The following is a 22408-nucleotide window of genomic DNA, read 5'->3' as shown; positions in this document are numbered from 1 at the left end:
GGGCATTCGCCACTGCTTCATCCTTCACATCCCAGTCAATGCTTGGGTTAGTTGCACCCTCAGTTCCTGGGGTAAAAATCTTGATTGGCTTAAGTCAATCAACACATTAACACCCTGGCCCAATTCTGAGAAATGTACATAACCCAAATCGACCAGGTTTGATGAAACTTTGGTTGGCTATTCCAGGACAGATGCCATCTCTCTTCTTCGTATTTGAAAGTAAGAAGAGTGTGGTGTGGAGCTGGGGCAGCCACTTTGCTACCTCTAAGGAGGTAAGCCTGAAAATAGTCAATATATCAAAGACTGCCAAGAAAAGGCTGCTGGTGATACCACTTGAGTCCTGAATCAAACTTTGCTTAATGCAAAAACTACCTTGACAGTTCAATTAAGGAAGCCAATAAATTATAAATATAAATGATCTCTTTGTTTAAACCAGCATGAGTTGGGTTATTCATAACATAGTCCTAAATAAAATATCTAATAAGCTACTTAATATCCTTAGGGAAATGTCAGGTTATCAGATTAAGCATAACATAGGTAAAACTAGAAATTCAAAATGGCAAGCTCACGTCTGCAATTTGAGCAATACAAATAGAAACTGATTCATGAGGGGTGGGAGCTGCAGTACAAGCAAAGGAAAAGGGAAGAGGACTCAGGCAAGTGGTGAAGTTTACAGAAGAGCCAGAAGCGGGAAAATGAGCTGACTGCAGATGCATAAAAGCATCAAGGTTGAGTGCTCAGCTGAGATGGGAATGGGTAACGATAATAAAGCCAATGAGCATAACTTATTCTCTAGAACACTTGGAAGCAACACAACACACACATTGTGTATATGTGTAGGACCCAAGCACAGTATATCTTAAAGCACCCCAGCTGATTCTAATGTGCCATCAAGTTTGAGAATCTCTGGAATGGAGGGGGCATCGCTCCATTATAAGGAGCTTTACTCTCTTTATATAACTACAGAGGAAAGAACAGACTGCTATTAAATCATTCCCCTTAATTTCACTTAAATGTAACATAATTGGGAATAGAAAGATCGATTTTAAATATGAAATATGGAAATACTGTGGAAACACTGCTGTCCACACATGATTTTAATTTCCTGTGGGTACATGGAATACAAAAGATGTGTGAAAGAAACATATACTAGAGCACCTGTGTAAGAGAAACTCTGACCTTGGAAAACATCACCCTCTTTCTTTAAATGAACTTTGATTGAACATCTGTTATGTGTCAGCCACTGTACTAGTCCTCCAGAGCTGCATATAGACTTTAGTTAACACAAGCCCTGCCCTCAAAAACTTCAGTTATCTAGGGGAGACACACAATGAGGTCGGGGAAGCACAGAGATTGTGGGAGCGCATGAAAGGGACACCTAACTCCCCAGAGGAGCTGAGAGTAGAGGAAGACAGGAGAGCTCCTAGAAGGAAGCAGCAGCTCTGATTTCTGATGGTGTATTAGTCCGTTCTCACACTGCTATAAAGAACTGCCCGAGACTGGGTAATTTATAAAGAGGTTTTTTGTTTGTTTGTTTGTTTTTTTGAGATGGAGTTTCACTCTTGTTGCCCAGGCTGGAGTGCAATGGCGCAATCTTGGCTCACAGCAACCTCCGCCCCACCCCCGCCGGGTTCAAGCGATTCTCCTGCCTCAGCCTCCCGAGTAGCTGGGATTACAGGCAAGCACCACCATGCCCGGCTAATTTTGTATTTTTAGTAGAGACGGGGTTTCTCCATGTTGGTCAGGCTGGTCTCGAACTCCCGACCTCAGGTGATCCACCCGCCTTGGCCTCCCAAAGTGCTGGGATTATAGGTGTGAGCCACTGTGCCCGACTAAGGAAAGAAGTTCAATTGACTCACAGTTCCTTATGGCTGGGGAGGCCTCAGGGAACTTATGATCATGGCAGAAGACAAAGGGGAAGCAAGGCACCTTCTTCACATGACGCTAGGAAGGAGAATGAATGCAGGAGGAACTACCAAACACTTATAAAACCATCAGATCTCATGAGAACTCACTCACTGTCATGAGAATAGCACAGGGGAAATTGCCCCCATGATTCAATCACCTCCACCTGGCTTCTCCCTTGACACGTGGGGGTTATGTGGATTATAATTCAAGATGAGATTTTGGATGGGGACACAGCCAAACAATATCATATTGGGAAAGATGAAACAGATGAATGAAGTGACGGTGGCTTCTAGAAACAAAAAACAACTTATGAGTAGACACTGAGACCACAGAGAGTGTAGCATACTGGGGAAAGCATGGAATATGAGGTAAAAGGTAAGGAGCTACTAGCCAGGAAGGGCCTTATGGATCATGTTGGGGCTGTATCCTGTAAGTGACTGAGGGCTACATAAGAATTTTACACAGGGGATCAACAGTCTGGATGGCATTTTATAAGTATCCCCATCAAAGCAGTGAGAGAATGGATTGGGTTTTGGGAGAAGCCAGTGAGAATGGAAATAGGAAAATCAGTTGGGGAGAGATGAGGAAATTCAGGAGAAAACTGCCACCAAGTGAACCTATAATTTATCTAGATTTGACCTCGTTCTCTTTGTGGCCATTGCCATTGCCACAAAGAGAACGAGGTCAAACCCAGATAAATTACAGGTATAGATCTGGGAAAATGAGAACAATCAAAAGTAGTGGGTAAAGGGAGTGGGAGGAGTCTAGGATGACATTCTGGTTTTGGTTCAGTAGCTGGAGAGATGTAATATTCATCGAGGTAATAAATACAGTGATGAATTCAGTCCTGGATATAGTGGGGCTGGGGTACCATTCAAAAGGAAATGCCCCCGAGTCTGTTGCATGTATGTCTGGGATGCATCTGAGCAGCCATGGCCTACCAAGGAACAGGACTCTACTGTGAATGGGCAGCAGCAACATCAGAGAGACACAAATGAAGAGAAATGTGAAGGAGGAAGCCAGAGAAGCCAGAAGAAACCCTGATAGAGATACATGCTAACAAGCACTATTCCATTATCAAACTATGTCCTGAAAATTACAAAATACACACAAACACCTATGTTTAGATAAGTATTTTGCAATCCTTGAGTGAAGTTTTAAGTACATATCTATTACATATTCAAAATTTATCATGAATACTCGATTTGAAAATGATTTTTCATCCATGGATTTAAAAACCATTTGGCTTTGTTTAAAATGAGAACATGTGCATGTTACAACTGAAGTGAGAACTAGTGAATGTTTAAAGCAACAAGTACAAAAAGAGAAAGCTGAATCACTAATCAGTCCTAGAAAGGTATTCCTAAGACGGAAGTGTTTGCAGCTGCTGACCTTTGGGGGGCACTAATTTGGTGATAGCTGGGTAGCAATTTAAATCTGTTGTTCTAAGCCCTAGTGCAGACTGTGATAGTATTTCAGAAGGAGATAATAGGTTTGCCTCAAATTTTCAGAGCAAACTTTCAGGTTTGGACCTTATCTTCTTCAAGTAAGTGAAGGGTTAGTGACTGTAAAGTCATATAAACACATCAAAAATAGGTCTGTGATAAAAGTGGACTTTTACAACATGTGGGAGTGAACTTCACCCATGTGGAGATGCTTATGCAAGAACAAGAATGCTTCAGTTCCTGAACACAGGGCCCCGGAGCAGGACCAGGTTGTACTGTAAAAGACAGGTTGAGTTTTTAACAAGACTCTGACTCAAGCCCTATCAACTAAACTTAAGGCACCAATATCCACACTTAATTTGTAGTACACTCAAAGACCTTCAGAGTTTTCCTGTTTTTTTGTTTTGTTTTGTTTTGAGATGGAGTTTCGCTCTGTTGCCCAGGCTGGAGTGCAGTGCTGCGTTCTTGGCTTACTGTAACCTCCGCTCCCCCAGGCTCAAGTGATCCTTCCACCTCAGCCTCCTGAGTAGCTGGGACTACAGGCACACACCACCACACCTGGCTAATTTTTCTATTTTTTGTAGAGATGGGGTTTCACCATGTTGGCCAGGCGGGTCTCCAACTCCTGGCCTCAAGTGACCCACCTGCCTCAGCCTCTCAAAGTGTTGGGATTACAGGTATCCCAATGCCGTGCCCAGCCACTGTTCAGAGTTTTAAAGACACTTATAAGGTGGGGAAAATAATATTAGCCAGAAAACCTGGGCTATCTGTGGAGAATTAAGTCATCTCAGCTAGTCTTGATATCAGCCAGAGTTCATATTTTACACAGCATGTACATCTATACATACACATATATATACACATACAAATGTACATAAAAACACATAATGTATTTCCTATCTCCTCTTTTTAAAGCAATTAAATCCAGCTGGGAGAGGTGGCTCATGCCTGTAATCCTTTTTATTTTGAAGGGCCAAGGTGGGAGGATCGCTAAAAGCCAGTAGTTTGAGACCAGCCTGGGCAACATAGTGAGACCCTCCCCCTACCAAAAAAAAAAAAAAAAAAAAACCTAACTGGGGATGGTAGTGTGTGCCTGTATCCTAGCTACTCAGAAGGCTGATGTGGGGGGATTGCTTGAACCCAGGAGTTCGAGGCTGCAGTGAGCTATATCATTGTGGCACTGTACTCTAGCCTGGACAACAGTGTGCGATCTTGTCTCTAAATAAATAAATAAATAAATAAATAAATAAAATACAGTAACAAATCAGTATTACATCCTACATTCTCAAAGGTTGAAAACAGAGAGGCCTATGCAATATGGAAATATTCAGATATCTGTAACCAAACTAACCAAAGCAAAGTCTATAAAGCCAAGTAGTCTAATGTGAGAAAAGTCTGAAATTCAAAGAGAAAAGCATAAAGGATATAGACTCTGTGAAGTAATAAAGACTTTCTTAAAGCCCATACTCTTATAGCTGAGAAAAACGAAAAAACTCCTATGAGCTCATGTTCCATTAAAAAACAAAACAAAATGTGGTACTTCAAAAAGAAGGCTTTATTTCTTTATACTTTCTGTAGTGGAAATACATACTGAATAACAATAGTCCAAGACCACGTGATTTGTACAGACAGTGTAATATATTTTAAAATGCAAATTCTAAAATGTAGGACTTACATAAATCTTGCCAAATTCTTATTAGGATCCTGTACAGATTACGTAAAAACATTTTGACTCTTGTTTGGATAAAATATCAACAATATTCTGAAGAACTCTTTCAATTCAAAGTTTTTGGTTTTATTAATAAAGGTTTTTAAATGTTTAAACTGAGCTCCATAGGGCTTAGTTATTTTTAAAATGAAATCAGGTGGTTTGTGATAAGGTCTAGAGGTTTTGTGTGTATGGGGGACAGGACGGCACAGGTAAAGACCACGTAACCCCAAAACCCACGACCACTGCAGCTGTTAGGAAGAATTAAGATCTCTATACACACTTTGCTGAAGTTTTAGAAGAGGAAACATATTAATTCCTTCAATCAACAGATATTTACAGAGCACCTCCCACATGTCAAGAACTGCTTTGGTGTTGGGGAAAAAAACAACATTGAACAAAATAGACAAAATCCCTACTTACATTCTAATAACTACAATTTCACATTAAAATAACCAGATATTTATTGAACATATACCATGTGGTGAGTACTAGTGGTACAGCTGACATTCTAGAAACTATAACTTTACTGCAAGAATAGTCATTTATTGAGCACTTACTGTGTGCTAGATGCTATTCTAGATGCTTCCCATTTAATCCCTATGACAAACTTCTAAGGCAAGTATTAGCAAATTTCATCGATTCTAAGATGCACATTATTTTATATTTTAGCATTTCTCAATTTAAGACACCATTGTAATGGGCATTTTTTCCTTAGCGTTATGTGAATTAATGGTGAGTCTTACAATTAATAAGACTTAATAATGGCTTAGAGTCTATGGAACGCAGTATTCTCATTTTACAGAGGAGAAAACCAAGGCAAAGAAAACTTAAGTATCTTGCCGACATCATCTAGCTTGCAAGTGGAAGAGTCAGAAATTCTAAAACGTGGATTTTAAAAGTTTAAAATCAAAGACCAAATCACTCTGTTTTTGTGGCTATTTCTAATAACTGAGTGACACCATTCATAAGAGAAATATAAATTAAAACTATAAGAAGTTATCTTTGTTTCCCTAATAGGGAAAGATTTTAAAAGTTAGTTGACATGGTGTATAGCAGGGGTGTGGGGAAACAAGCGCTGTCTTACATTGTTGATGGGCATGTACACTGGAACATCTTGCTGAGTGGGTCTCGGCCAATATCTATCATGATTTAATATGTACACATCTAATATCTAGATATTCACTTCTAGGAATTTATCCTACAGGTGACAGTTATACATTGATAAGATGACATGTTTGTGAGATTATACACTGCACAGCACTGTTTGTAAGACCAAAAACATCAGATGCCACTCAAAGATCCACCAGTAAGAGTCTAGTTAAATAAATATGGTGAATAACTGGTATATAATATATACAGCTATTTTTTTAAAAAAGAATGAGGCAGCTCTTTAGGTACTGTTTGAAATTATCTCCAAGATATACTGTAAAGTGAAAAAAGAAACAGAAGACTTTCTAGTATGATAATATTTAAATTTTTAAAAAGCACATATCTATATAAAAACACATACTGACATTTACATGAAGGTATGTATTTGTGTATGCATAAAATAACTCCAGAAGCATATATACAAAACCAGCAACAGTGGTTGCCTCTGGAGAAGAAAACAGGGGTCTCTAGGATAAGGTTACAAAGGGAGAATTTCCTTGAATAGGGTATTAAGTGCATGTATTACTTAATTTATAATTAAAACCAAGCATAAACTTACTTAGGACATTCTCCCACAGCTGTGGTTATTACTACTGGAACATTCCAACTGTATTAATTTTTGCAAAGACAGAGCACAAAACTGGGAATTAAAAGACTGGATTTTAGCCCTGAATTTGCTGTGGGATGATGGGTAAGTGCCTTGTACAGTTATAGTATCCAGATTCAAAGAATGGTAAAATACACTTCATATATATAACACATTCAATTCTAGTCCATAATTCAAGGTCTTCGGGGAGACGGGGCCCCTGCCCCAATGGATTGTAAGCATCTTACTCTAGTTATTCTGCCTGCCTCCTAGGAAAAACCTCAAATGTTTGTTAAATGGAAGTGAATTATATGAGCACACAATGTCAAATAATAAAGGTATATACAAGTCAGAGTGGTAGCAAGAGGTGAGAGCAATCCTCTGTGTCTATCAGAAAAGAGGCAAAGAAGGTGAAATTAAACTGGGTCTTGAAGGATGAGTATTAAATCAACAGGACAAAAAAGCCTCTCTTCCCTGAACAACAGAGGAGGGATGGAGGAGGGCGGTGGGACTCCATGAGCTCTAAGGGCCTTTCCAGCTCTATAGTGTAAGACTCTTACAAGGGAGAATGGATGAACCTTGGATTGAACCTAGTACTGAGTTTTCACCTTACTGTCTCCAATAGAAGGGAAACAGGTACCCAAATGCACCATGTTGAAGAGCCCAAGCTCACAACAGAGGAAAAAAAGCAAGAACCCCTAAGAAATTGTGTGGGGAAATGCAAAAGTAGGTGGGATACTAAGAAAATATAAGTATAAAGAATGGTATAAGAAGATCATCAACAAACATGGAAGGAGAAACTGAAAGCAACAAAACCCATGACCACTGCAACTGTTAGGAAGAATTAAGATTTCTACACACACCCTGCTGAGGTTTTAGAAGCGAAAACCTATTAATTTCTCCAATCAACAGATATTTACAGAGCACCTCCCACATGTCAAGAACTGCTTTGGGTGTTGAGGAAACATTGAACAAAATAGACAAAATCCCTACTTAAATTCTAAAAATTGTAACTTCACATTAAAATAACCAGTTATTTATTGAACATATACCATGTGGTGAGTACTAGTGGCAGAGCTGACATCCTAGAAAGTATGATTTTACTATAAGAATCATAGTCATTTATTGAGCACTTACTGTGTGCTAGATGCTATTCTAGATGCTTTCCATTGAATCCTTATGACAACCCTCTAAGGCAAGTATTAGCAAATTTCATTGATTCATACTTTCTAACAGAAAGTAAACCAGGGAAATGAAGTTCTCAACAGGAAGAAAGAGGAAGGGAGGGGAGGAAAGGAGCAGAGGAGGGGAAGATGGTCGGGACGAAGGGGAGAGGGAGTGAGGCAAATCCTAAAAACATCAGCTATATCCAGTGAAACTTTTAAGTTAGAAATGAAAGTGTCCATAAGAATTAAAAAGTAAATAATAAAGATAAAAAAAGCAGCTTTAAAAAGACACCCTCCACTGCCACCCGCAAAGCCTAAACTGAATTCGAGATTTCTGTTTTAAGCATTGTAGCTGGATTATTGTTATACTTCAACGTAATTAAAAGTGGAATAGTCTCCTTTCTTACCCATGTGTCTACCACATAACGATAGCTAAATTCAAACAAAGTTGAGTCTTTAAAATTCCTTTATTTTTATTTGAGACATGTGCATTTAAAATGCCTCTGGAATTCTCAAAGGTACCCAAAGGCAGAGTGTTGAATAATGGAAAATATTAACAATCATTAGGAGAAGCTGGTTGACTTACTTTCTTTCCAGATGCTAAAATTCTCTAGTTTCTCAATTTCAAGAGTGTTAACGTATACGTTTAAAAGTGCAATAAATGCTAACTGTAATCATGTCTTCTAAATCTTACACGAAAACCCCAGAGAAAATAAATTATTGGCCCATGGAAATACTTTCATCTCACTATTCTTTGTAAACAGAAATCTGGAAATGGTTTTGTGCAACCCTGAATCTGTGTTGGAGGTTGGTAATCATCTGAGAGTGGCCTTTTAGCTGCTGTTAAAAATATTGCTGAGGAAGACAAAGGCAGACCTGGGGAGCCCAGTCTGCAAACAGCATCAGCCCAAACTACCAATCACAGGACCCTTGACAGTCTTCAAATGTGAGCAGCGCAGAAAAAGGAGGAAAAAGCAGTAACGGCCTCCTCACTTCTCTAGTGGATGCCTATATTCCTTGTTTAAAGCATCAGCAGCATTAATGTTTCTCAGTATGTCTCAATATAAACAACTTCAGCTACAAAGAAGTCATTAATTATATTTTATGATAAAATGTATCACGGAGAAACAAAGTGAACCTTCTGGGGGGTAGGGAGAGATTGGAAAATTCTTCTTCCTGGAAAATATAATATGGACACTTTTAAATTTAATTTTCTTTGTGCCTGCTGAACAATTTTCCAAACAAGTTCCCCAGGTTAAAACTTTGTCAGCATATTTGAGAGAACCAAAGGCAAATTAAAACTTTTTCTTCTTAAATGAACGAATAAAAGTTTGAAAAACTGTAGCTGACACACGTGTTAGCCTTTGATGGGGAGACCAGGTGCATTATATACAAGGATAGGATTAGGAATAGGAAGAAGCTTCCTCAGGTCCTTTGTAGTAAACCAAGGGGAAGTTTTACAATCATTTTGTATTTCATTCCATTGTGGGTGCTGTTGTTTGTCTTTCGAGCCTCAATTTGCCCAAGTGGAATGTATAATGCTCACGCAACTAGGGTTTCCAGTTAAAAACAGGGCACACAGCTAAATACAAATTTCAGATAAATAATGAATAAATTTTTTTGAGACAGGGGTCTCTCTCTGTTGCCCAGGCTGGAGTGCAGTGGTGCAATCACAGCTCACTACAACCACCAGCTCCTGGGGTTAAGCAATCCTCCCACCTTAGGCTCCCAAGTAGCTACAGGCGCCCACCACCACACCCAGCTGATTTTTGTAGTTTTTTTTTGGTAGAGATAGGATTTTGCCATGTTGCCCAAGGTGGTCTCAAACTCCTGGGTTCAACAGATCCGCCCACCCTGACCTCTCAAAATGCTGGGATTACAGGCGAGAACCAACTGTGCTCTGCAATGAATGGATTTTTAGTATAAATATGTCCCACATATTGCATGGCACATTCTAAAAAAAAAAAAAAACAATTTATCTGAAATTTGAATTTAAGGGGGTGTCCCTTATTTTTATTTGCTAACTCTGGCATGTAACAGGACTTATATACCAAGTAGATGGTGTGCTAGCCAAGTTTGTCCTCTGGATGGGGATAAGAAAGGTTGGTAAGCACACACTGGTGGGGAGATACAGGAAAAAAAACAGAGCTGTTGGGGCAGGGTATGTATCAAGACTCTGACATCGTCAAGAGAGAAAGAGAATGGGGATACATCTTAACTGGGTGCAAAGACTGATAACCAGGGACATACCCAGGGCAACTGGTGACAGAACAGGAGGTGACCAGCCCCGGGATGGAGGGGAAGTACTCTGGCTCTTGGCACAGTGACATTCCTCTTTGTCCCTTTGCTAGTTTCTTCCTCATACTAGTGAATTTCATAGAGGAAGTATATAACCAATGACAGTTGAAACACAGATACTTTTAGGCGTGGTAAATAATTTGAAAATACAGTAACTGCCATATCTATGTAGACCTGTTGATTAATTTATTAATACTTTTATACTGAATGTTAGCAAAGGATTTCATCATGAACTTTGCCTTTTCCCTATTACTGATATTCCTGGGAGTTCTTGGATGGGGAGGTGCAGGGGCGAGAATATGCTGCTAAGTAGGGTATTCTTAAATGATGACCTAGGAAACTTTCCAATCTCTGCACTGTGACCCCACCTGTCCATAAAAGGCAGTCACAAATGCCATCAGCTGAACAGGATGGCATCCTATCTCTTCTCTCCTGCCCTGCTGCCATTTTCCCATCTCCACGTATACTGCTCTGTAATTTACTAGCATACTCACCTTAGAATGTTGGTATAAAGATAAATGAGTTATGTGCATATGTAAAGCTTTGAGAATAGTGCTGGTTACATGGTATGCTTTAAATGGTTGCTTTATTACAATATTAATCATCATAATAAAAGTCTACTCAGATTTCAATCTCTTTGTCAATCCTCAGGGTAACTGGCTGAGAAAAATTCTGGCATCTATGGGTCTCTGGATATATCATCTTAAGCGCACCGAATTTCTGCCATTTGTAAATACCTCGATTCTACCCATCTCTGCAGTTACAGTAAGAAAATAAGTTAAACTGATATGTAAAAAATCATGCTTAATTTTTAGAATAATGCCATCTTAAAAAGGCAAAGGAAAAAATATACAGGTATGATATCAAAATTAGGCCAAAATGTATAGGTATAATTGTTAAACATAATCTGCTACTCAAATCACAAGCTGACGAGGGTTAAAAATGAGAAAAATGCCTTTGGATTAGGTTGGCATTGATGAGGATGCAAGGAATGGCTAGGGTTACCCTCTGCTGAAGCAGGAAACAGCTCAGCTATGTCTGCATCTTTGGTAACAACTCTATGGTCACTTTGAGAGGGAAGATACTTTAATAAACAAAAGCACAGATTTTGCACCGAAAGAGCTCTTCAGTATGTCCTTATTTCAAGGCTGGGTCATTCCTTTGGCTTTAGAATGAGGATGAGGAAATGGATTTAACACTTATTGAGGTACTGACTTCCCTGTGTTTCAAGGGCATACCCTGAGCATGGTTTTCGTATAAGGACATGTATCAATAAAACAATAGGGAATCTCATCAACTAGACATTTATTCAATTGTTCCTGATATTTAACAACATCCCTAAAATTACTTTTTAAACACTTTTTTATTTTTGCCAAAGATGAGAAATAGAGTTAAGTGCACAAATGGCTTTGGACAATCTGCTGCAGAGAACTGTTTTAAGCATGGCATAAACATGCCAAATCAATAACTTGTTTCTTTATCTGCATGTGCCATGAAAACCTGGCTATCATAGAGTGCCGGATCCATTAAAAACTGAATTTGCTATTTCCAGACAGCAGATAGCTCAAAGCTCAACAGGGCCAGCAGGCAAGAATCCAAACCCACATCTCTCTCTCTCTAGAAAAACAACTCAAAGCACTCTGTTGCTACATTATGTTATTCAAAGCACAGGAGATAATGAAGGCTTGACAATACCGTGGCTCTCAGGATTGAGTCAAATGGCCATTATTCTTCAAACATAAAGAGCTGGGTGAAGTGACTTTTGTAATCTTAAATCACTAGACAAATCTGATTAAAAGAGAAATGTAAATCAGTAAGTGACATCTGAAATGAAACTGTCCCTTTTCCATATTTAAGAAACTTGATGTCACAGAGATGCCTAGTCTTTGAGGAAAGAAGGAATGGTGGTATAACCCAAGGCTTTTGATATAGATTTTTGCTGTATGCCTCTGCCCAAAGCTGTAGAAAATATTTTACATTTTTATTATATAATATTTTACTGTACACTAGTAGATATGAATTCCCTGTACACTAGCAGATATGAATTAACAACAGTTCTTAAGGTAGTCATAGGAAGTGTGATTATTGAAATATATATCAATATTTTTTGTATATTTAATACTACAATTAAAAATTCATTGTCCTGATACACTACTTAAAATTATCCCACTCAAGTTATGCCTAGTGCCGTCTTTTATCTTTTCTTTTCTTTTTTCTTTTTTTGAGACAATGTCTTGCTCTGTCATTGAGGCTAGAGTGCAGTGGTGCGATCACAACTCACTGCAGCCTCGAACTCCTGGACTTAAGCCATCTGATCCTCTTGTTTCAGCCTCCCGAGTAGCTGGAAACACAGGCACATGCCACCACACCTGGCTAATTTTTAAATCTTTTGTAGAGACAGGAGTCTCCTTACGTTGTCCAGGCTGGTCTCAAACTCCTAGGCTCAAATGATTCTCCCACCACAGTCTCCCAAATTACTGGGATTACAGGGATGAGCCACCACATCCAGCTTAGAGGAGTCTTTCTTTAAGACAAAAATATAATAAAAATCTCAAAGACTAATATTTTATAGCATCTAATTAAGTAAATAATTTGGGGTGATAATGATTCTACTTTCCTCATCTTTTATCTCAAACACATTTTTTTTGGTCCCTTACCCAACTATCAACACTTATTCAACCACTCTTTTGCTGCTTTTTTTTTTTTTTTTTTTTGAGACAGAGTCTTGCTCTGTTGCCCAGGCCAGAGTGCAGTGGCGAGATCTCGGCTCACTGCAAGCTCCGCCTCCCAGGTTCACGCCATTCTCCTGCCTCAGCCTCCCGAGTAGCGGGGACTACAGGCGCCGGCCACCACGCCCGGCTAATTTTTTCTGTTTTTAGTAGAGACGGGGTTTCACTGCGTTAGCCAGGATGGTCTCGCTCTCTGGACCTCGTGATCTGCCCGCCTCGGCCTCTCAAAGTGCTGGGATTACAGGCGTGAGCCACTGCGCCCGGCCGGAGCTTTTTTTTTTCTTTTTCTTTTATATATGGGCTCTTGCTCTGTTGCCCAGGCTGGAGAGCAGTGGTGCAATTATGGCTCACTGCAGCCTGGACTGCCTGGGCTCAAGAGATCCTCCTGCATCAGCCTCTCAAGTACCTGGGACTACAGGCACACAGCACCACACCTGGCTAATTTTCTTTTTAAAACATTTTTTGGCCAGGCACGGTGGCTCATGCCTGTAATTCCAGCACTTTGGGAGGCTGAGGCGGGTGGATCACCTGAGGTCAGGAGTTCGAGACCGGCCTGGCCAACATGGTGAAACCCCATCTCTACTAAAAATACAAAAAGTTAGCCGGGTAGGCTGAGGCAGGAGAATTGCTTGAACCCGGAAGGCAGAGGTTGCGGTGAGCTGAGATCAAGCCACTGCTCTGCAGCCTGGATGACAAGAGTGAAACTCCATCTCAAAAACAAAAACAAAAACAAAAAAACCCCGTTTTTTTGTAGAGATGGGTTCTTGCTATGTGCCCAGGCTGGTCTCAAACTCCTGGCCTCAAGTGGTCCTACTGCCTCGGCCTCCCAAAGTGCTGAGATTATAGGCATGAGCCACCATGTTTAGCCTATTATTTCTTTTATTCAACCACTCTCTGTAGTAATACTTCATTTACCCTACCTTATTAAGAAGCAGCAGTTCCTGAGACTTTTCAAGGTAAGTAAAAGTTATTTCTAAAATACCAAAGTTTCTAAAAATTCTATTTTAAAACAAAATATCTGTTTCCGAATGTAAACTGATCCCAATTATTTTACCCTAAGGCTACTGAAATATATAGGGATATCTGGGTATTTGGGTCCAAATTAAGTGGTCTTGGGCAGCTGCACTTTCGGAGTTCCTCTGTTAATGACTTATAGTTTTTATGGCCCGTCCTTGCTTTCATTTAGGATGCTGTCACTTCTTACTAGAGCTCTGACTTTTTGAAGCAATAACTACCCTCTTTTACCTGCTATTAGTGTTGACTGTGTTTTGGGAAACCAGGCATCAGTTTGAACTGATTTGTTTTAAAAAAAGATTGAACTGTTTGTGGATGAGGGACCGAAGAAGTAATGAGGTGGGTGAGGAGAATTACACAATAATTTTAACAATCTGGGCCCAAATAGGCTTTTTTAGAGGTTCTGAGCTGTTTTAAAAAGGTGGGATTGCTGCACAAAAGATGCTCTGGTTGAGTAAAGCACTAATGTTAGTTTTCTTTCTACTCATAGGCTAACTTATCAAGTGCATAAATACATACATGTTTAATGACATATATGAATTTGCTTCTAGTTCAGTTGATACATGCATATATATGTAGAAAAGTAATTAAATAATGATAGTTATCAAAAGAAAAAGAAAAGCCCAGTTCACCAACACAGGAGCTAGATGACAATGTTTCTTCTCAAGTGTGTCCACTGACATGTATATGCAGAAAAATTACTAATATAACAAGCCACTAAAAGAAAGCAAGAAGCCCACTTCACAAAATACAGAAAAATAGTGACTACCTGTTAAAGACTCACTTTTAGTGGTGGAGTGTGCACTAATTCATGCAGATTAACTGTGTTTGCAGATGTTAAAAACCACTGTAGATGTAAATAGAACTTTTTCCTTCCAAGCATTTCAATTTTTTAGAATAACTTTTCACAATAGCAGATTATAAACATGTGTGTTTGGCTAATAAACCTAGATTTCCCCCTAAACACATAATTCTGATAAAATCTAACAAAAAACAGAGAAAGAAACAGGAAAACATTTTTATGTGCAGAGAAATGTCTTCTTCAGGCCAAGGACAAACAGCACATGCTAATTTGCATGGTTTTAATAAAAGTGTTCTAATTATAGCCTACTCTAACTTACCCGTGATTTATCAAAAGAAAAAAAAAAATCAACTCCAGGTTGGACTTTTTGTGACCTGGAAGCTCTCTGGCCCTGTAACCCTCCTTGGTACTTAGTATGGTGTTTCAGAAACTATAATACAAGTTATGTTCATTACCTGTTTATTAAAATGACAAAGGAAACAACATAATGCATAAAATATAACCAGATTATCTGCTACTTTGGATTACCTTTACTAATGTTCTCTTTTAGAAGGACAGATAAATGGGAGTTAACTTTTGTCAAGCCCTTTTGTATGAGTCTTTATTTATTATAAGAATTCCTGAAAACAATTTAAGAAATGGACATGCAACCAGAGGCAACAAACAAAAATGAAATTCTTCTAGTCTCAAGCAACATTTCTTAGTGCAAGAAATAAAGTATTTTCTAAGCCTTATTCTGGGTACACATTTTGCTCCTAGCTTTATTTGCTTTTTGCAACAGCATTTAAGAGAAAACCAACTGACCATTTACAACCTAAACAATGGCTTTGGGGTATGATTAAGAAATGCACCTGGGCTCACTCAAACAACACGTTTGTTTAACCTGGTGACTTTCCTGTGTCTGGGGTCAGGCAGGAGCAATCTTGGTTGGGGGAAGGAAAGAAGAGCAAATACAACTGACTCACTGAGAACAAAATGGTTGCACTAACTACCCTTTGTAATTACAACTGTTTTAACAGTTTCTAGTAGGCAAAGCTGTCATTTAAGTGACCCACTATAATTTGGGATGAAACCCGAAGGAAATTTTGCCAAGTTTAGAATAGGAGTTGCATTTCTGAGTTTACTCAGCATGATGAATCCACTAAAATGCTGACTATTCTTTTTTTGGCATAAACTTACGTCAAGGGGAAAATGAACATTAAAATGAATATAGCTAGAGAGGCAAACCGTCACAACATTCACTCCCAGGAGCAGACCATAGTTTATTTTACTTTTTGTATCTTTCTATTATGAAACATTTCAATCATATAGAAAAATGCAGAATAAAATAATGAACACCCCCCAAACATCATTTAGTTTTGATAATCACCAACACATGGGCAATCTTATTTTATTGTACCCTATCCACTCTGCTCTTTGAAATTATTTTAAAAAAAAATGTTCTTTTAGAGACGGGGTCTTGCTCTGTTGCCCAGGCTGAAGTAAAATGGTGCAGTCATAGCTCACAGTAACTTGAAATCCGGGGCTCAAGTGATCCTCCTGCCTAAACCTGTCCCCGGTAGCTAGGACTACAGGTGTGCAATACCATGCCTGGCTAATTTTTAATTTTTATTTTTTTTAAATAGAGACAGAGTTTCACAATGTTGCTCAGGCTGGTCTCAAACTCCTGCGCTCAAGTGATCCTCCAGCTTCAGACTCCCAGAGTGCTGGGATTACCGGCATAAGCCAATACACCAGCCTGCATTAAAGCAAACCCCAAACAACTGATGTTGTATTTCATAAAAGCTTTCACTGACAATATATGTATATATTTTCATAAGGATCACGCCAGAAATCTCACTGAGCATGAGATGTCTAAACCAACTTTAACCACACCTTGTAAAACACTTTACACTAAAACCTATCTGCCTAGAAAACCAATTTGCTTGAATATAAGTGGGTAATTCAAATGACAAAATAACTTTAAACACAACCCTCTATTAATTCATGCGGGGAAAAATAGCAACATTCTCAGATTGGGAAAATAGTGCATGTTACTTTATCCCTATGGTTCTAGTCTTTGTGGACATTCCAATCAGTGAGAGACAATATTAAAAGTAACATGGATAGATTTGCCTGGATGGAACTTAGAAAAGTAGGTAAAGGCTACTAAGGAGGCCGGGAGCTGCCTGGAATAAAACTTTTCCATTTTCCTTCACTACTGTACATCCAGAATAAAACAGAATGGCAACAGACCAAAACTTAGGAGCTTCAAAAGGCACTCATCAAGCAGTCTAGCTATTTACAATAATTTATTACCAATCTTAAAGATCAAAAGGAACTCCATCAAGCATTTAGATTCAATTCCTCACTGCCTGATGACTAAGTTGTAGAGGAATGAAGGGAAGCCAAAATAATCTGAGGTGACTTTGATACAATGCCACAAAGGATATGAGGAGGAAGCCGGTAGAAGCTGCAAATGGCTAGGTTCCATTAAGAGTTCTAATAAAAGAAGAATGGAATTTCCCTTAACTGCGAATTTAAAAATGTTACAAGTGGGCGAAATTTAGACAAGCCAGGCAAAACCTCTGATTTGCCATCGCCTTTTTTGTTGTTGTTGTTAAATGTTAACTTTAGCCACTGCTGCACTTATGTTCATTAAGTGGCTTCATCTAAAAAAAAATGCAACACTACCTTCAGAAATCTGGCCAATCTCATTCCTTTTGCTGTTGTATTACTTATCAGCCTGCTCCTTCTGTCTGCATTGTCAGACCCTATTGGCTCTCTCAATCTCTTTCAAACAAATTGCTGCATTCTGCAATGTGACTGATTTAGCTTGAAAAATGTAACTTGGAATGATATAAGTTTTAGTATTACATATCACCATGGTCACATGAAGCATAAACATCTCTTTTACGAGTTTTTGGTGCTTAAGTCAATTGGTCACTATAGAAACACTAGAAGCTAGTGTTTCAAATTCTTTCAACTTCTATGAACTGGCACAATTTTTCCCTCCTGAATCCAGACATCTCTGTATTTTCAACTGAGGAAAGTAGTTTTCACACTACTTACTTTGGCTAGTTAAAAAATCCCTACCACATGTCTCCCTATAAATTCATAGATAAAGATTTAAGTTTATATTAGCATTTCAACTGTGCAAATTTTTTGTTTGCTTCTGAAATCACCTCGAATTAACAGATTTACTGGAATCCTACATGGTTTAGAAGTTTTGCACAAGTCTCTGAAACCTTGTAATCTATTTCCCCATGAAGATGTGGAGTTAAGCATTTTCTTAAAAATGGCTACATATTTTTTCTTTTTAAAAGAGTGCTTATCTTTTACAAATATATTGTAAAATACTTACAAGTGAAAAGATGTCTAGGAATTTTTCAAACATGAGGGATGGAGAAGGTAGGGTATAAATGACACAGACGGACTATGAATCTATGAAGCTGTGGGATGGGTACATGTGGGTCGTCACGTTATTTGGTCATTTTCTGTGTAGCAAAGCTCCAGGCAGTAGATATTTCAGACATGATGCTATGTACTAATTTTTATTAGGATTTTCATTTAGAAAAATAACTTTCTATCAGGAGGAATGAAGAATCAAGTTTTGCAGTCAGCATTTCAATTATCTTTACCAATCCAAAACCCAAGTTCCTCCAGTACAGTGTTTGGAAAGAAAAAACAAAAACCAACCAACCAAAATACACCCCAAAATGTGTCTTTTCACTGTCTTTGAGATTTCAGTGCCAATATGTAACTAGATTTCAATGTGAATAAAATATAATTATTATAGTTCAGAAATATAACATTTCTGTTTTCTTTAAAAGGGATAAAGAGCTAAAAAATTTAAATTGAAATATAAATGTAATTGGTAAGTGTATTTCAGAATCACCATATGTTGGTGAAAATTGTACTATACATTCGGAAAGACTTTAATACTTAATATGCTATTAACATGCTTCTCTTACCTTGTGATCATATGGACTGTAAGAATGAAACACCCGAGAAAGATCTTTTGTCCTTTGCTTTTTCTGTGAAAAAAAACAAAAAAAACAAAAAACCAACATACAAACAATTGAGTTGACAGCAGATAAAAAATATACATGTGTGTATATATCTCTACATACATAAAGTTTTTTTTTTTTTTTTTTAAGAGATTCTTCCTTTGTGGAGGCTGAGAAGACACAGGGGTGCAACTAAAAACCAAAGTCACTTTATGGTTATGTGGGTCATTATCACAGAGCAACCAGGTGACCTCTTCCTAGAAGATTTCATAACTAAAACACTAATCATCATCAAAAACTGTATTTGAAAATACATAACAGACTAAAATGAAGAAAACACTGAAAACGAAAGAAAATTTAATACACAGGGCACTTCCGATTTCATTGTAATACCAACTGCTGTTACTCAGAATTGGGCACAGACATGCATTCATTTAAACGATACACCTCCTTCAGGCTTCCTGGTTACAGCTTGGGTCTGTCTGCTGGAGCTTGCAGCTATGAGGATACCTTTACTGTGTCACTGCTATATAGCCTAGGTACCCTGCATGGTGTTTTACACACAGCAGGCACTCAATAAATACTGGCTAAGTTAATGAATAAATGAATGTATGAGTTATACAGGCATATAACTCTTAATATCTGTAATGATGACACATAAGCCTCATAGATTAGTTATGAAGAGAAGGCTCTTTTGGCCGAGCATGGTGGCTCATGCTTGTAATCCCAGCATTTTGGGAGGCCGAGGCAGGTATATCACTTGAGGCCAGGAGTTCGAGACCAGCTTGGCCAAAATGGAGAAACCCAGTCTCTACTAAAAATACAAAAAAAAATTAGCTGGGTGTGGTGGTGGACACCTGTAATCTGAGCTACTCAGGAAGCTGAGGCAGGAGAATTACTTGAACCTGGGAGGCAGAGGTTGCAGTGAGCCAAGATTGTACCACTGCACTCCAGCCTGGGCAACAGAGGGAGACTCCATTTCAATAAACAAAACAAAACAAAAGAAAGAAAGAAAAAAGAAAGAGAACGCTCTTTTCATTTCTAATGACGTGTTCTTGAGCTGAACCCAGGCATTACATGAGTCCCCTCTCCATCCCCTGCTCCTTAGTGTATCTGTGACAACCAAGAAGTATGAGGTTCTCTTATTACAGCCAACTAGTTAATATAAAAGTGGCTTTTTTGGCCGGGCACGGTGGCTCACGCCTGTAATCCCAGCACTCTGGGAGGCCGAAGTGGGCGGATCACAAGGTCAGGAGATCGAGACCATCCTGGCTAACACGGTAAAACCCCGTCTCTACTAAAAACACAAAAAATTAGCCGGGCACGGTGGCGGGTGCCTGTAGTCCCAGCTACTTGGGAGGCTGAGGCAGGAGAATGGCGTGAACCCGGGAGGCGGAGCTTGCAGTGAGCCGAGATAGTGCCACTGCACTGCAGCTCCAGCCTGGGCGAAAAAGCGAGACTCCATCTCAAAAAAAAAAAAAAAAAAAGTGGCTTTCTCCTCATCCACTGTGATCCCTGCCCCATAACCACCATAAGCAATTTGTGTATGGGTCCAAATCTTCTACGCACACACACAAACACAAACATTGATTACTACTTTCAAAGAAAAGAGGTCATTCTATGTACAGCTGTCCCTTAGTACTCCCCGTAGATACCAAAATCCGCTGATGCTCAAGTTCCTTATGTCAAATAGTGCAGAATTCGCATATAACCTATACACATCCTCCCGTATGCTTTAAGTCATCTCCAGATTGCTTAGAATATCTAATACAATATAAATACTATGTAAATAGTTGTTACACTGTATTTTTATGTGTATTATTTTAAATTGTACTCTTGTTATTATTACTTAGGGACAGGATCTCACCCTGTGGCCCAGGCTGCAGTACAGTGGCACAATCATCGCTCACTGCAGCCTTGGGCTCCTGGGCCCAAGTGATCCTTTTGCCTCAGCCTCCTAGCTGGGATTACAGGCGTGAGACACCAAGCCTGGCTGTTATTTTTTATTTTTCTAAATATTTTTGATGCCCTGTTTGTTGAATCTGCAGATGTAGAACTTGCAGTTATGGAAGGAAGACTATATATTGTTCGGAAATTTACTTTTTCCACTACACAGTTTGTCCTCGCAAAACTTCCTTGGTTGTACATACAGATCAGCAATTCCCTAAAGGGAGTTTTTCAAAGTTTTTGACATCTGAAAACTTTACAAATGCAAACTTTTCTGTAATTCATTTCAATTTTTTAATATAATCATATTCTTTGCACAAACATCTTTGCCAGCCTGACTGTATTTAAAAATAATAAATTATGGAAGTCCAGTTTCAGGATCAGACAGTACACACATTTATTACCTTAACAGGTAAAGTCAAACTGCCTCCTCCTCACAAATATTGCATCAATTTGTCCCCTCAGCAAGAGTGAATGAGAGAAGGGATCTCAGCTTAAGTTGGTAATTCTTAAGAATTTCTCTCTTCTATTTAAAGGTTAGAATGTTTCTAAATTTACAGAGGTAATCAATGTTTTTAGAACAGATATTGAACATTTTCCCAGTTGGCAATAATATAATTTATTTCTTGTCCATCATAGGTTAGCCCACGACCACATCTTAAAATTCTGTGACACAGGTGGTCTGTTTGTCCCTAACACTGCCCCTGTCTTGCTTCTGTTTCTATTCTGATGTTATTCCAACTGCCAGGAGACTGCTTCTGTCTTCACTTGTGATGAATCCTTGACTGGTATCCCGTGTTCTAGGGAAGTATCTTCTACCTCCTCCAGTGTCCTCAAGGACACAGCTATCATACCTCCCCAATGCCGCATACCCCCGCCTAGCTCTACATAATCTTCTGCATCTCCTTAGTTAAGCAGTTGGACCTGATATTAATAAGGACCTTGTAAATAAAATCATTTGTACACACTCATCGTTTCCTTGTAGATCAGTTTCCCTATTTCAGAGCTGTCTTTGAAGTCACAATTCCAGTGGCAGTGGTTCAAATCACTTGGCCTTGTTGCTACCTTCTGACACCCACTGAAAAGTCCTCTCCTACAGATCAGCCAAAATTCCTGCCTCCTCTCTCCGCCTCTGAGCAGTGCTTCTGACCATCAAATTCTAAAGTAATTTAACACTCCCTTCCCCTGGAGAGCAAAGATGTATCAGTAAGATGATTGGAAACAGTTCCTGTGGCTAATGAAATGTTAGCTCTGTGAGCCTTGGAATCTGCTTTGAACAGGTCATTTGCCCATCAAAATTTCATTAGCTTATAATTTTTTCTTTTCTTCCCATATACCCACTTATTCGGTGAAACAGTTCTTGGCTTATACTTCAATCAGAAGAAAAATGACGGATGCTAACACTTCCTTTGTTAGGAGTCTTGATATAAAACACTGGGGAAAATATTTTTAGAAAGGAAATTATGCTAGATAAAATAAAATAGGTAGCATATCAGTATTAAACTTAGGAGATGCCCCAAGAACTGAGGCTTATCAGAAATGGCTGAGCGACCAGCTTGCATTGGCAGGTGGAAAAGGAATATTCAGAAGTTGTTTTGTGTGACTTAATGTAGGTTTTGATTTTACTTTGATAGCTAACACTTATATGTGCTTTTTATCCTAAT

The 22408-nt window shown here is 38.8% G+C and overlaps 1 protein-coding gene across 16 annotated transcripts in view; it reads right to left on the bottom strand.

Annotated features, from left to right (window-relative positions):
* The window catches only part of CDKAL1 (CDKAL1 threonylcarbamoyladenosine tRNA methylthiotransferase), a 697948-nt gene that overhangs the window by 105180 nt on the left and 570360 nt on the right, over window positions 1–22408 (bottom strand). For 11 of the 16 annotated variants that reach the window (XM_047418949.1, NM_017774.3, XM_047418947.1 and 8 more), the window contains one exon: window positions 18762–18824. The exons of the other annotated variants lie outside the window; for them this stretch is intronic. In XM_047418949.1, coding sequence (XP_047274905.1) covers window positions 18762–18824 — 63 coding nt within the window. The remainder of the gene's footprint in view (window positions 1–18761; window positions 18825–22408) is intronic. 16 annotated transcript variants of the gene reach the window in all.

This window comes from Homo sapiens, chromosome 6 (genome assembly GCF_000001405.40).
Source record: "Homo sapiens chromosome 6, GRCh38.p14 Primary Assembly".
Classification (NCBI taxonomy): Eukaryota; Metazoa; Chordata; class Mammalia; order Primates; family Hominidae; genus Homo; species Homo sapiens.
This window is presented reverse-complemented; position numbering and strand designations above follow the sequence as displayed.